The following is a 16803-nucleotide window of genomic DNA, read 5'->3' as shown; positions in this document are numbered from 1 at the left end:
GGATTATCGAGTTGTGAACTCTTTTGCATCCGCCAGGCTCTCATGAATGAGGCATTTTGTTCAGCTCCTTCTCACTTCGTGTTTCTTGGAGCTAGCACAGAGAGAAAAGGCAGCAAGTGAGCAGCTATTTTGGGCCAGGGTCTTATATTTGAATATTACATGATGAAATAGTGCACCTATCAAGTCTGTTGTTTTTGTAGCTTTTCTCTGCGTCTTCCTCCCACCTCAACTCACCCCATGCCACCCACCCTGGCCTTCTGAGCCCTGAGGCGCCCTTGCTGATGGGCCAGCTAGGTAATTCTGCAGTTGGTGAATCACAGATCAGTAACTGAGACAGAAAATACTTGCTGTTGCAAATCCCCTGATGAATGGTCACCGGAAGCTGGGCCTGCAAAAGAGGGGCTGTAGGCCAACATTTGAGCTCCCTGAGCTGGGCAGATTTAGAGACCGACTCACACTGAATCCTTCTTGATCCAAGTTAATTTTCTGAGGGAAATCCAAGGGGGAATGGTCTTATGATTTAGTAGTGTTTTGAGGCTCAAAAAACATTTGTCAATAAAAGAAAAAGAAAATGGTGGCTTGAATATTCAGTTGCTTTCAGTGGACAACGTTTTGGTCACTAGGAGGCAGAAACATCCACTGTGAGCGAGGGTCTCCTTTCCAGGAAGATGGTGGCAGAGCAACTGGGCCAGCCTTTGGCCTGCAGCCGGGACTATCTTTATATAACACAGCAATAAATGCTATTTAAACAACAATTATAAACAAGTATTCTTTGACTCTTCTAGCTCTCACTTCAAAGAAAACCAAAGCCATTGGATGCCACTGGAGAAAAGAATACTGTGATCATTTTCATTCTTCCCAAACACCCTCCTTCCAGCAGCCTGGAAAAGCCTTGAGTGGGACTTTACAGGTCACAGGATTCTTCTCATATATTCCAGGTAGAAAAAAAAAAATCTATTTAGGATTAAAATTTTCTTGACATTGACATTATTTATCTATCCACACTATGAGGGAATATTTCCTTTTCAAAATATACCAGCCTGTAGAATCTCTGAAAGAAGTCTGTTGACTGAGAGGCAGATGGAAGGTGGAAAACGAAAGGTAAGTCAGCTGGAGGTTCACAGGTGAGAGAATTAAAAAAGGAAAGAAACCATTGTCAAGTTGGTAACCATTAACACAGGGTCGGGCGAGACAGGCTTCAACAAAGTAGCTCTTTGTGGCTGTAAAATACTATTATGGACCAAGTCCACCACAAACCACAGGAACATCTAACTTAGAGGCCCTTGGAAGGATTGAAACACAAACCCTGAACTTTGGTGTCCTCCAACAGGCAGTGGCTGTGGGCTACTAGGAACATCCGTCTGACCCTTGGAAAGCCTGAAGGAGGTGCCTCCTTGCTCTCCAGCTTGGGCCTTGGCACTCGACTCTGTAGTCAGGGTCCCGGGTGTCCAGGATAAGGGTGAGTGTGGCCTTGTACAGATGCACATTGTGGCTTAGGTTTCTTGTGATTACTACGGATGTAGTTGAGTTGACTGTGGTGTCATGTAACCAGGATTGGTTGGCAATTCCGGAAATCTGAGGGTAAAAATAGCTGCAGACCCGCCAACCCTTGGCCAGTGCCACCACGGTGGACAGGAATGGTGGGCTGGAAAGTGCTGAGTTTCGTGATCTTTTCTTCCTTCCGGTGGTGGGAGGTTCTCAGAATAAGAAGGTCTGGGCTTTGGATTTCCCCCAAAGGTTTCTCGGTGCTTCCCGGGCCTGCTGAGTCAGTGTAGTTGGGTTTGAGTGAGCACTCAAGAAGGGATGTTGGTTTTTGAGAGAGGGGGCTTGGAGCATGAGCCGACTCAGGCTCAACAGCCAGGGGAGGTAACCACAGAGAGCACCCACTGGTTCCCAGCCTCCTATGGCCCCAACATCCTGTCACCAAGGGTTTACAGCCTCCCAACCACCCTCCAAAATAGACCCATCAGAGCCAAGGCCTCTACCCTACTCCATCTTTCTTGCTTCTTGCCAATTCTGTGTCTGAATTTTGCCATTTCCTGACTACCATCTTCACCCCACAACTGCTTCTCCTGTCTCTGTAGGAGAACTGGTTAAATGCCAAGCCCATAGCCCAGTTCCCCTCCCTAGGGTACCATCCCATGTACTCTCTGTTTGATCTTAACTCTGAATTCCTCTGTACCATATTTTCACCTTTTTCTAGTAAATGTTCATTCATTGCAAAATGCTTCAGGACCCCCTGAGAAATGGAAAACATAAGTTTTCTACACATGACCTACAGAGAAGCTGCATTAGCTTGGACTGAGAGAGAGATGCACTTGAACCAAATGCACACCTAAATTCTAGAATGTCTCTAGAAGGGGAAAAGTCTTATTATTTTAATGTTCACATGATAGTTTAAACTAGGCTGACAAAAGTTGAGTTGATATCAGCCCTTTGATACCCTGCTTTAATAATTTGATAGGGATAATTTTCATCACTAGGTTAATCTTTCAAATAAAAGGGACCTCTGGAAGGAAAGCATTTATGAAAATTGTCAGTTGAGTCTTAAAAGTTTTCTTGGATCTTGCCAAACCTAATTTATCCCTCTTTTCATTTTATTCACGCAGAACTTACTTTTTAAAATACTTTGCATGTGTGTGTTTGTGTTTGTATATGTGTGTGTGTGTGTGTGTTTGTGTGTGTGTGCGTGTGTGTTTGTGCGTGTGTGTGTGTACACGTGTGTGTGCACTTAGATTGCTTACTTCTAGGCTGGGCTGTGAACTCCCTTTGAAAGGGACAAATTCACTCGGTTCTTCAATTCAGCACCCAGTAAGTGCTTACAAACTGTTTATTGAATTGGACAGGATTATATGGATTAAAGATTCTTGTGGGAAATCTTGTTTACATTATTAATTTGCTTGGCATGTTCTTTCTTTCTAGATAGCAATAAGGCACACTTTATTTCCAGCTCTTGTCCAAATTTAAAATTCCACCTTAGTGAAGTTCTGTCATCTCTCAGTAAGCCTGTGGGTCTTTATTCTCCAACCAGGTCTTTACTTCTTCCCACAGTGTCCCAAGGAGGACCCCAGCCAGCAGCTGGCTCCATTGCCTGGAGTTTGCTGCCAATGTGGCCAGAATCATGCATTTGGCCTGCTGTGGTCCACCAAAGCCCACAGGCCCCATCCTGTGTACCTGGCCCAAGGCAGGCACTATGGTGCACTTGGTCTCAGAAGGTGGGGCGAAGTTAGAAAGGCTCACTGCAGAGGCAGTGTTTCTACATCGTGGGCTTTGGCACCACACTTCACCTGATTCAAATCCTGGCTCTAGCCCTTTCTAAGTGTGTGGCCTTGGTCAATTCCGTTAGTCTCTGATACCATCTCCTTTCCTGTAAAATGAAGAAAATAATACTTTACCTGTGAGAGTGCTGAAAAAAGTGGAAATACAGTATGCAAAATGGCTACCATAGTGCCTGGTAGCTGTTTATTTCTTTCTAGATAGCAATAAAGCACACTTTATTTCCAGCTCTTGTCCAAATTTAAAATTCCACCTTACTAAGTTTCTGTCATCTCTCTGTAAGCCTGTGTGTCTTTATTCTCCAACTAGGTCCTTATTTCTTCCCACAGTGTCCTAAGGAGGACCCCAGCCAGCAGCTGGATGAAAAGCTTTTCTCACCATGAATGAGTCACATCATCTTAACAAAAGATGAAACTTTGTTTCAGAGTCCTAGGCCAAGGGGAAGCTGAAGAATCAGAGGCCAGGTCTAGTGTGCCACAGGGAGTAGCCTGAGAAGTGGGAGAAGAATGGTAGTAATGGTAAATATGAATTGAGCACTCCCTAAGGACAAGCACTGTGCTCAGCACTTTATATGGAACATTTTATTTCCTCTTCACAACTTCCATGTTATAGATGAAAAAAGTAAGGCTCAGAGAAGCTAAGTCCACGTCCAAGTTCATGCAGCTAGCTGAAGTCAGGTCAGTTCCAGGAAAGAACCGAGCATCACACCAAGTTCAGGTTCCTGCAACATGCAGCCTCACTGCCTCAGTGGGACCCTCTTGCCTCCTGAAGTTGCCCCTCCCCGGGACCCACAGCTGGAGTCCAGCATAGAGGGGCAGACACACAAGCCAACTTTGCATGTGCCACACAGCAGAGATGGTGAGAAGTGACTGGGTCCACGCTACTAATAAGACCGAGGCCTGCGGAGGCGAAAGGAAAGCTTTGTCGCTTCATGTGACTGCTTAGGGCAGAGCTGGGACCAGCCCAGCCCTCCCAAACAAAAGGGAGGCAGCCGCCTACTTCCCTAAGTCCTCAGCATCCTTCGCCTGACTCATGCTAACGAGCTTTGGGGCAGGGGCGGGAGGAAGAAAACTGACAAAACCAGTGATCGAAAAAACCTGGATTGGAACATTTAGCTTCCTTCAAGACCAAGTATAAACCGCACCTCTGCCTGCCAAGCCCTAATCATCATCCCATGGCAGAGTCCCTTCTTAGTCACTGTCTGCCCCTCCAGAGGGGCTTGTCAGACAATTACAAGAATTCAGCGATAATCTCTCCCTATTTTACATCTTTCACTTTTTATTTCCCGGGTTTTCCTGAATTTGCCCTCATTAAGCATCCCAGCCCATGCTTCACTTAGCCCTGAGCCCAAGCCAGCCAAAAAGCCTTTCAGCATATGTTAGTGACTCCCTCTGCCTGATTCTATTACGCGGATCAAAGTCCCCTAGCAGAGTCCTGGGACTTCCTGTCAGCGTCAGCAAGATCAAACAGAAGAAAGACAAGGCCCTTAGAAGTGGGAGGATGACTGGCTCCATGATATTTGCATGTTGGAGGCATAGACGGAAGACCTAGTCCGAGAAGGGGCTGCTTGCCTGAGCAGAGGGTTCCACATCCCAGGGGGTATAACCCAGTGATGGGTGCACCCTGAGGCCCCGGGAAAGCCAGGTCTGGTGTGAGTGTCAGAGTCCATCATAACCAGATGACCGTCACAGCACCTAGAATGAAAAGTAGAGCCTGCCATCCAGATGGGAGCCCCGTTTGAACCCTCAACCTCAGCCCTCTCCATCCAGCCCCCACAGTGCACACACGTGCACACACACACACACAAACACACACACACACACTGGATGAAGAGGGAAGACTTGGAAGTTCTTGGTGCGAAAGGAATCCTTGGACATGAGAACTAAGGATGCTGCTTCTTTGAAACATGGCTCCTACCGTTGTGAGTTCAGAACTTGGTTGGGCCAAGGATGATCAGAGCTATGGGTTACAAAAGGCCAGTGAGCCCCGCTGGATGTCTTTCCTCAGCATCCCTGAGAACCACTCCTTCTGCTGGTGTCTTTCCATATCGGTCCCTTCTATACCTGACCCTAGACTCCTGAAAGGTTGGCTCCTAGGCAAGAGGGCTCTAATTTTCCCTCTTGGGTTCCACATACCATACTCTGACCTTGACCTTTTGTAATTTCAGCAAGGTGTGTATTTTACCCTCTGCAAAGGTGACTGTGACTGAGGAGTAAGCCCCAGACAGGTTTAGTATTTAGGATGTAGGGCTTTATGTAAGGCTGGACACGCTGCTTTAACAGAGACCGCAGTCACACTGAAGCATGGTTCTCTTCCCCGTGGCAGTCTGGAAATGAGTGGTTCAGGCCAGGAGGGAAGCTCTGCTCCACATAGTCGCTCGGCACCCAGGCCTCTTCCACCCTGTTACTCTGCCATCCTCTTGAGAGTTGTCCTCATCTGCAGGATCAAAGCTGGGTCACCACCTTGTCAGCATCTCTGTTCATAGGGAGCAAGGTGGAGCAGAAATGAAGGGCAATCTACTTGCATTTAAGCAAGCGATGCAGAAGCTACATATCTCGGTTCTGCTCATATTCCGTCAGTGAGAACTGAGTCACATGACTACCAACCCAGCTGCAAGAGAGGCTAGCTCTATCTATCTCTATACCTACCTACCTATAATCTATCTCTCTATTTTCACTGAGAATATGGTGGAAAGTTTGTCAGGAAGATATCTTCAAGATTAAAATATCAAGTAAACTGGCCATTTTTTTTATTCAGTCAACAAACATTTATCAAGTTCTTAACATTATCTAGGTGCTATGCTAGGCACCAGACAGACGCAGATGGGGGAATGCATGCCCCATGACTGAGTAATCTAGTCTGTGGTTTATAAATTTGCCAATCCACCTTTACTCCCGGAAAGAGAGAGAGAGAGAGAAAGAGAGGGAGAAGGTGAACTTGTTTTTAAGCAGATCACAAAGGATGCTTCTTAGCCACCTCTGTGTAATTGAAAGGTATCCTCAGATTCCAAGCCAACTAAAAATTTGCCATTGGAGCTCCTTATCTTCTTAATGATCTGCACAACAACAACAAATGCAAACATAAATTGAAAGCTTATATTGATATGATTATAACTGTAACACCTAATTCTGAATTTTCCATTTGGGGACCATCAAAACAGCATTACTATGCTCATATGTTGACTTTATAGTAAGCCTTTATACAAAATGCCACTTTTGTTGGTTTCCTATTCTTCAGCAAAACTACTGGAAAGATGTGAAGACAGTAGAATCAAGCTTCTCTCAATTATTCCAATACAGAAGCTCTGTGGCTCCCTGATTCTCCATGATGCCTTGTGAGGCTGGAGTGTGATGTGGGACCACTGAGGAGCCAAACAGCACTAAACAGGGGAAGAGGTTGAAGGGGGAATCAGAAGTTTCCCCCACTGCAACTTTGGTGCAGAAGCACATTGGGTAAGAGTCAAAAATCTGACAGGGCTTGGAAAACCTCAGAACCAGGGTTCCACATCTCCTGCAGCTGCCAGACTTTTGTTCAAGGAAAATTATTTTCCTCTCAAATATGTGCTTACAATCCCACAAGCTGCCTTGCACATGGGCTGTAGCAATGGCCCAAGCAGCCTCTGGCTCAACCCCCACCTGCCTGAGCACCCTCTGGGTAAACTGCCAAAAGTCTGGCCTAAAGAAGCCAGCTACTTCATTGTCAACAGATTGTCACTCTCCAAAACATCTAGAGCTGGAGCGAATTTGCTGAGTTTCAATGCCATGAATGTCTGCTCACAGGCACTAGAGTCTGTTCAGAGTCATCAGCCTTTAAATCCTGGAGGGCAGTGATATATTACCTCGCACAACCTCTGGGTTTACAGAATGGACAAGGAGATGCTCAGGATCTCACAACAAGTTAGTAGCTGTGTCCAGATTTAAACCTAAGATTCCAACATCCCATTCCTTATTCTTTCCAACAGAACATTTAACACAAATGTGCACGTGGTTTAATGAGAAACAAAAGTAACAGTTGACAGCCCCAGTTGCCAAAGCACTGTGAACTCTCCAAATCATTTTCATGGCACCTATATGGTGGCCCAGTTCTTGCTAACAACCTTACATAGTAGATGGAGCAGGGATGAGCCACACTTCAGAGGAGGCAGATGTGGACTGCCAAGAATGTCAAAGCCTTAGCCCCAGCACACATGCTGTTCATAGCATGTCCATGCTTTGAACCAGGTCTCCTGGCCTCACCCAGCATGCTCCCCACTCTGCAGCTCAGCTTCCCTATTGGCAAGTTTCTGTCCCCCAGGTCTTGATTTGCTCTTTTGCTAACAAGAGGGAGAGAGGATAAAAACAAAAACAAAATGAAAGAGTGACAGTGTCTCCAAAAGCAGCCATAAATCTCCTAACCAGGGCTTGGAGGCACAGTGAGAGTCCCCCAGCACAAGGCGTGTGATTCTTGTGTCCCAACTCTTCACCCGGAAATATCTAGAGTCCTTTACCCAACGTTTGTGGAGTGCTCACAGTGTGCTAGGTGCTGCAGGGTGTTTGGGGAAGCACAAGGCAAGGGCTCTATCCTACAGGAAGGGAAAGAGAACCGAGGAAGAGGTGTTAGAGTTGTTGCCCATGATGTTAAGCACCTTGTATTATCTCATTTAACTGTTACAACTGCATTCTAAGGTATGTATTTTTGTCCCCCTTTTAAGACATCTGACGCTCAGGGAGATTAGACAACACCTGAAGTCATAAAACTATTAAGTGGCCAAACTAGAATTCGAGTCTAGGTCTGTCTGAATTCGAGACCTTTCCAGCACTGGGTCTGGTACATAGTAGATGCTCAATAAATGTGTTGAGTAAATGAATGGGCAGGGTGAGGTTTGACCAGGCAGAGGAGAGAACCATAAATTGGAGGTACAGTGGATAAGCCACCCTATCTTAGTGATAAGCCACTATCACTAAGATAGTGGCTTACACTGTAGAAAAAGATGCTGAGGTCCCAGGAAGAATGTGCTGGTGATTTATCACAGCTACCCAGAGAAGACCAGCCTTCCTAGCTAGGGAGGATGCTGCTGGGGAAGGTGCTTGCTTTTCTCTGCTCCAGGCCTGTCCTCTCCATCCACCAAGCAAGGCACCACACTCATTTTTATGCTCATTACTCATTTGGGGAGGCAGCTGCCTGTCCTGTCCACACCTCCTTCCCTCCCCCGAGGCGAGAATCACACTCAGGCCCCTGCTGTTCCCACCTCCAAGGGGCAGGCCCTGTCCCTGCTGCCCATGCCTGTCTTTACTTCCACAGATGGCGTCAGAATCAGCAACCCTAGAAGAGGAGCCCAAGAGGCCCTGGTCCCACCCTCCGAAGTAGTTTGACGCTCTGAGTTGGGCGCCGACAGCTGGTTTAGCTGAGACACATCTCCAAACCGCGGGCTACAGCTGCCGCAGTGTGAACTGTCTCTGAGCCTCCTCTTGGGGCAGCCACGGCCTGACACTGTGGTTCCTAATGGCTGACAGATTATCCTGTGTGCTTGGAGGAGTCACAGGAGGATTATAACTGTCTGCCCCATCCTATTACCCCTCCAGCTGCCTCTCCCTCTGGAGTCCCTCTCTAGTATGTAAGAATGTTATCAGCACAGCTACATTAAAAAATTTGTAAATGACATTTTTCAAAGCTTGAGCATGACTGGTGTGTGTGTGTGTGTGTGTGTGTGTGTGTGTGTGTGTGACTCTAAGCCATGAATATATCAAAGATACCTCTGCTGCCTCCCTCGATGGGTTTTTGGGGGCGCGAGAGAGGGTTGAAGGAATGAATGAAAGCCCTTTAGAGTCCTGTCCACCTCTTGGTCTTGGCCATTGTGAGCATTTTCTTTCTCAAAATCGCCTATCCCCGATTCCCCAGCATGAAGGGAATGTGTGGTCCGAGAGCCTGCGCTAGGAAAGCACATCTGGAGGCCAGCCCTTCCCCGGCAGCTTTGCCCATTCTGCTACTGGCAGGGAGCACAGCTGGGCCAGCTGGCAGCAGTGCATGCACCTCCTGTCCCACACACCCCACATGCTGCTCTTCCTGCCCTTGCACCTCCCTCCTTAGCCCATGCCTCCCTGTGCTGGATGTGTCAGGAGTGTCCAAGTAGCAGAAGCCATCTCTGGCTCAAGAGCACCATTAGACCTGCCAGGTCTGGCTGAGCCTCATGTGTATTCGCTACAGCCTTCCCTCTGGATGCCACTGTCTCCAGCAAAGGTTTCGGCCAATTGATTTCCAGGTTGGTCTCACTTGGGGATTACATCCGGCTGGGCTGCCAACCAGAGCCCTGACAGCTGGAGCAGGACTCTTGTCTACAAGGAGTGGGCCCACACCCCTCGAGGTTGATGATACCCTCTCTCCATCCTCACACACATCCCTGCATCATTAGAGCTGAACTCTTTAGGAAGGGCCTGGACCCTCCCAGAGTTGTAACCTGGGTCTCTCAGGAGGAATGAGATAGTGAAGCAGATTGTCACCATTTGGGAGCCATTTTCCTCCCCAGAGACAAGGGAGTCCACTAGGAGTACTGTCAGTACTGTCCCAGGCCTCCCCCTGCCATGCCATGTTGCCTGTTGTCCTACAGCATGACACAGCACTCTGAGTTTGAAGGCAGGGATCTGTCTTCACTTACAACTGTGAGATGTGAAATCAGTTTGTACCTCCTCTGGCCTCTGCTGAGGGAAGGTAATAGACTGGAAAAAAAATCACAGACCCTGTTCCTCTGAACATTTGCGAAGTTTTATGAAAAACTGTGGTTATGATTCAACCCCAGACAATGACAAAGAAATTGGAATGTTGATTTGTAAAAGAAAGAAAAAAACCTGGATTGCATTATTTGTATTTAAATTTTCCCTTACTTAAATTGGTTTCTACCATCTATTGATCATAATTCATATTAGGAGAAGCCATTGTTATAGTACATGACATGGCCACTATTAAAAAATACAACCACTCATGTGGTAACAAATTGAAATATAAATCAATGTATAAACCACAAATTTAAAAACATATTGTCTTTTATTCCCAAATAAACTATACTGTAAATAACAGAACTATTTACCAAGTTATAGAAGTTGTGCTGCACCAGTTAGAATGGCAATCATTAAAAAGTCAGGAAACAACAGGTGCTGGAGAGGATGTGGAGAAATAGGAACACTTTTACACTGTTGGTGGGACTGTAAACTAGTTCAACCATTGTGGAAGTCAGTGTGGCGATTCCTCAGGGATCTAGAACTGGAAATACCATTTGACCCAGCCATCCCATTACTGGGTATATACCCAAAGGACTATAAATCATGCTGCTATAAAGACACATGCACACATATGTTTATTGCGGCATTATTCACAACAGCAAAGACTTGGAACCAACCCAGATGTCCAACAATGATAGACTGGATTAAGAAAATGTGGCACATATACACCATGGAATACTATGCAGCCATAAAAAATGATGAGTTCATGTCCTTTGTAGGGACATGGATGAAATTGGAAATCATCATTCTCAGTAAACTATCGCAAGAACAAAAAACCAAACACCGCATATTCTCACTCATAGGTGGGAATTGAACAATGAGATCACATGGACACAGGAAGGGGAATATCACACTCTGGGACTGTTGTGGGGTGGGGGGGAGAGGGGAGGGATAACATCGGGAGATATACCTAATGCTAGATGACGAGTTAGTGGGTGCAGCGCACCAGCATGGCACATGTATACATATGTAACTAACCTGCACATTGTGCACATGTACCCTAAAACTTAAAGTATAATTAAAAAAAAAAATAAAATAAATAAAAAAATGAAAAAAAAAAAAGAAGTTGTGCTGCAAATCAGTCATCAAACCAGACCAGTCGATAACTTCCAAATCACTGGTGGAGTTTTAGAAGTTGTTTTTCTATTCTTACTTTCCTCAGCTGTCACTACCCAAATGGTAAACATATCAAATAATTTTTGATGTCTAGAACAATATCAAACCCTTCCACAGACTCCCTTATAAATTAACAGTCATCAGGTGGCTTTCAGTTTCAGTAGACAGAGAATTTCTCTTAAGGTCATTGACACTGTTCATAGTACTGAGCCCCCACCCAGTTCCTGCCAAACTCATGGCAACAAGGTAAAGTTTTTCCCAACCCTTGTCATACTGTTTATGACGTTTTTGTCTTCTATGTCTCTATTTTTGAAGGAGTCACACAAAATTATTTATTGGAACGTCATACTTAATTGGCCTAAATGTATTAAGTTTGTTCACCTTCAAACCCAAATGTCACTTAGCCATGCTTCAAGATTTAACAAATTGAAAGAACATAAACATTCATTATATTTTTAATTTTTGTGTTATCAAACAATGTAACACATTTTCTTTCTTCTAAAAATAATCTCATGGTTTTTTGTTGTCTTGTTTGTTTGTTTGTTTGTTTGTTTGTTTTGGAGATGGAGTCTCTTCTGTCACCCAGGCTGGAGTGCAGTGGCATGATCTCGGCTCACTGCAACCTCCACCTCCCAGGTTCAAGCGATTCTCCAGCCTCAGCCTCCCAAGTAGCTGGGACTACAGGCATGCGCTATCGCATCCAGCTAATTCTTTTCTGTATTTTTAGTAGAGACAAGGTTTCACTATGTTGGCCAGGCTGGTCTTGAACTCCTGACCTCAGGTGATCCGCCCTCCTCAGCCTCCCAAAGTGCTGGGATTATAGGCATGAGCCACTGTGCCCAGCCATTGTTGTTTTTTGTTTTTGTTTTTTTCCTTAGAACAGATACTCTCTTTTGTTGTTTCAAATGACATAAATCAGTCAGCGTCCCAGTAGGAAACAGATGAACACTCAAATTCAGTAATTTGAAGAGGTTCATAAAGAGACTCTTTACTAAGGGGTGGGCCCAGCACAGGGAAAAGACAAAGGTCAGTGCAGTACCTCACAGCCAGTCATTACTAAACCCAGGCTTGAGGAGAAGATGGAGCTGTTACTAACATTTGGAGAGAGAACTGGGTGCACAGTGCGAGGAAGGCACTGGCTATCAGCAGGGAGGGAGCCTCACAGTGATCACTTTGACCTCAGACTTCTCCCTCTCTCCGACATTCTGTTGCTGCTCCAATTGGCCAAAGTCAGTTGGTAGGCAGAGCTCCCAGGAGCCCATTGGTGAGCCTTGATGGGCCATACAGGTGAGAGAACAGAGCAGAGAAGGAGAGAGAGAGGGCTAGGGGCAGGAGGAAACAGACAGAAGATGTACTGCTTTGTCTCTGTAACATCTTGTGTGTCTCTTTCATGGTTTCCCATATTTCGTTTTTTAGGCTCAGATACCATAATTGTCCTCAAATTAATTATCAAAGAAACTTTTCTTTCTTAAAAGGCAAAAGAATGGATGAATGTCATTGATTAAAGCCACATCTCTTAAAACAAATTTTGAAAATGTTCAACTATAGCCACTTTATAATTTCTGTTAAAATAAATATCTCAACCTTGACACAATGTCCAACCTGCCTTTGCAGCTCTTATGCCGCAGGCTGGCTCTTGAAGACTGAATATTTGTCCGGTTTTTGTCATTTAAATTCTAAGCTCTTCAAGTATATTATTTAATCTTTAATATCTTATTTGGAGAAAGGTGATAAATATAAAGTTAATGGAGGACAGATTTAAAATGATTTACTTATTTACATTTTTCATTGAATATTTCAAAGAGAACTGAATACAGTAACTTAGATGATATCAAATTAAAACACCTGGAAATTTTTTCTAAAATTTGTGCCGAAACCTCATATTTTATTCATCTCATTATATTGATACACTCTATAAAATTCAATGAGATTTTCGTGTAACTATTTCTCAGTGAAAAATTATTTTTCCCAAGCATTGATACACTTAGCAATATCATTTCAGATGTTACTACTTCCAGTTCTGTATGATCAACAAATTCCATTAAACTACCTTCAAAGTCTTAAATTCCACATTTAAGTACATTGTTAACAATGTTGAGACTTTATCAATAATGGTTGACATTTTATTGGTTAATGTGTATGTCTTCCAAAAAGCAATTTTTTATCCTAATAGATGTTTCGTAACAAACAAGATCATAAATAACAATATACCCATATTGAAATTAATGATTTTTGAAGTTTGTTAAATATTTTCTATCTGTAAATACTCACTTATTTTTAACTAGCTACCTTATAGTGTTACGAAGTCTAATAGTACTTTCAAAATATTTATCTCTTTATTAATAGTCATTGATAAACGCTCTGTCAGAAATGTTGATGATTACAAATGCTGTTTTATGGAAAACTGATTCATGATCAACTTCTGCTTTTTTCCTCACTGATGATTGCAAACTTAAAATTTGGACTATGAGCTTTATCAGAATGGGACTGCCATTCTGATAAAACATTTAAATGTTTAGTACTTTCCACTTTTAATATTTTTTTTTTTTTTGAGATGGAGTCTCGCTCTGTTGCCCAGGCTGGAGTGCAGTGGCGCGATCTCGGCTGACTGCAAGCTCTGCCTCCCGGGTTCACGCTATTCTCCTGCCTCAGCCTCCTGAGTAGCTGGGACTACAGGTGCCCGCCACCACGCCGGGCTAATTTTTTGCACTTTTAGTAGAGGCAGGGTTTCACCATGTTAGCCAGGATGGTCTCGATATCCTGACCTTGTGTTCCACCCGCCTTGGCCTCCCAAAGTGCTGGGATTACAGGCATGAGCCACCATGCCCGGCTAATGATACAATTTTTAGCACTATTTGCATCCCACATTTACATTATGAGCAAAATAAGCCAGCTATGTTTTGTTGAAAAAATAAAATTATGAATTGTTTTTTATGTCAGAAATACAAATTATTTGGTTTATTTTGTCCCAGCACTTCCATAGTCACAAGACATTCTGTTTGGGTTTGTTGCCTGGTGTTGGGAGATATTTCAGCTTACGGTTGATTGTTAGTATGATATCTTCTTTGTTTCCTACAGAGTCAGAAGATGAACATTTATGACATGTTAAAAGGAACATTAATAAATATCTCAACTTTCATGTTTCTTCATTCTGTGTGTTCAGGTTTCTGTTTTATTCTAAGCGAGTATGTATTCCTAATGGAACAAGCAAGATGGCAGACTGATTGGAGGGAGCAAACTATTCACAGTGACTGGAAGAAAGAATGCCTGAATATGATTGCTAATTTAGACACAAAACTGGCTAATATGCCATGGAGCAATAACACTATAACCTTTGGTGTCATCTTTTCTACCAGACAGAAATACTTGTGTCTCCACTGAACAAAATTCATTTACATTACTATTGGACAAAAGCCAATTGCATCGCTTTCAGTTTTCTGCAAGTCAATACCTATCTTTATAGATTTATAAAGTAGCCTAAATCAGTAGTAAGTAGCAAATCGAAGGAACACATTCCTAGAGAACTGGGTAATTTCCAGTGGGCCTGCTCAGCAGTGCTTAGCACTGAAAGAATGTGTAATAATCTCTTTGTCTATTTCCAACTTTTGGATAATTCTCCTGAATTATCTTCTTTGTGATTATAAATAATGTTCAGGTATTATTTTTAATCACACTGTGTTTTGGCCTGATTAATTTATATACATATAGCAAAAAGTAGATTAACATATGTAAACTTCCTTGTAGTCTGGTCAGCAAATCTACAGCCATATGGTGTGAGGCATTGCTATGGCCAGAAAATTAACTTCTGTCTGAAGACTGTGAAAGCAATTGCATCTTCAATAATATCTATTATCCCAGTATTTTTAAATTGCTCTTCTATTCCAAAGTTAAAAAACCAGGCCCAAGATAATAATTATCTCCATCAATTTTGCTTACCACATCTATAAATAAGAGTGAATTTCTTCTCGAGGTCCTTCAAACCTGCAGAGATTCCTGACTGCCAAGAAGTGATTTTTCTATAAGCCATAGAACAGATATCAGATCAATTTTCCTTTCTCTCTCTCTCTCTCTCTTTCTCCTTTCTCTCCTCCCTCCCTCCCTTCCTTTTTTATTTTTTTATTTTTTTATTTTTTTTTTGAGACAGAGTCTCACTCTGTTGCCCACACTGGAATGCAGTGTCGCAATCTCGGCTTACTGCAACCTCCATCTCCCAGGTTCAACTGATTCTCCTGCCTCAGCCTCCTGAGTAGCTGAGATTATAGGTGCCCACCACCACGGCCAGCTAATTTTTATAATTTTAGTAGAGATGGGGTTTCACCATGTTGGCCAGGCTGGTCTCGAACTCCTGACCTCAAGTGATCTACCTGCCTTGGCCTCCCAAAGTGTTGGGATTACAGGCATGAGTCACCATGCCCAGCCTTCAGATCAGTTTTCTAGGAGGGCTGTGGACATTGGTTTCACGTATGAAATGCAACTTTTGTTCTTTAACAGTGGGATTGTCATACCTGACAAAATGAAATTTATTCTCAAACATGGCACCTGAATTTGTCTTTGGTTGTACAATCAAATTGTCCAATTATATCCTGCTAAAAAACAAAAAGAGGACAAATTCTTACTGAATCTATAAATAAACTACACTTCCATTAAAAGCACAGAGATTCAGTAAATTATATTTGTTCCTAAATTTTGAGGTGTCAGTAAAAACAAGTTATTTAAATAATCCTTCCTTCCTTCCTTCCTTCCTTCCTTCCTTCCTTGCCTTCTTGCTTTCTTGCTTTCTTTTTCTTTCTTTCTTTGAGACAGGGTCTCACTCTGTCATCCAGGCTGGAGTGCAGTGGTACAATCATGGCTCACTGCAGCCTCAAACTTCTGGCCTCAAGCAATCCTGTCAGCTAAGATTCCCAAAGTGCTGGGATTACAGGCATGAGATACTGTACCCATCCAGAATGTTTTATTTCTACATACAAAAGCATAGACTACTAACTTAAAGGTTAGCAATAGATTAAGAAAAGGAAGGGCTTCATCACATAGCCATAATAAGATAAAACATTGAACATGAAAATGAAAACAAATAACCACAATTAGATCACCCTTACCAGTTAACTCAGTCCTGTGTAAGGTTCTGTTGGATCTTTGTTAGCAGTGGTTTACAAAAAGTCACTTGTTTCTGAAATAAAAAATGTCCTAGAAATCTTTTCTCTTAAACTCGTCTAAGTGATATCACCTCAGAAGCTTGTATCTATAAGTCTATTTCTTGAAGTAGTAATCATTAAACAGGATCTGTTGCAGTCATTTCCACTGGGTTTCTGAGACTGTTCTTTGTTGAAGACCCAATTTCTAGGCTATAGTTTATAAAAAAAAAAAAATCTTTCAGGCAAGCATGAAAAGAAATCAGAAATTACTTGCTAATAAGAATGGAGAAGACTGAAACCTATTAGGTTATAATATAAAACTATCACATATGGGTTAGATCAATGTTTCTCATAAGAGTATTCATCAGCCTCCTGAACCTTCTTGTAATGTATACAAATCTCTGAAAATCTAGGAAATGTTACTGCTTTGATTTGTCAACACCTCACATACAGCTTTCATGATAGTATTGGACTATCTAAGAAATATGGAGCATATGGCAGGGCGGGGTGGCCCACACCTGTAATCC

At 43.2% G+C, this 16803-nt stretch overlaps 1 annotated feature.

The window, feature by feature from the left end:
- Positions 1585-1834: an enhancer, noted in NCBI's record as "active region_24641". NCBI's record gives its function as "activates an Ori minimal core promoter by ATAC-STARR-seq in GM12878 lymphoblastoid cells {active_cell/tissue: GM12878}" and the evidence as "EXISTENCE:reporter gene assay evidence [ECO:0000049][PMID:35858748]".

The sequence above is a fragment of the Homo sapiens genome, chromosome 6, assembly GCF_000001405.40.
Source record: "Homo sapiens chromosome 6, GRCh38.p14 Primary Assembly".
In the NCBI taxonomy this organism is placed as follows: Eukaryota; Metazoa; Chordata; class Mammalia; order Primates; family Hominidae; genus Homo; species Homo sapiens.
This window is presented reverse-complemented; position numbering and strand designations above follow the sequence as displayed.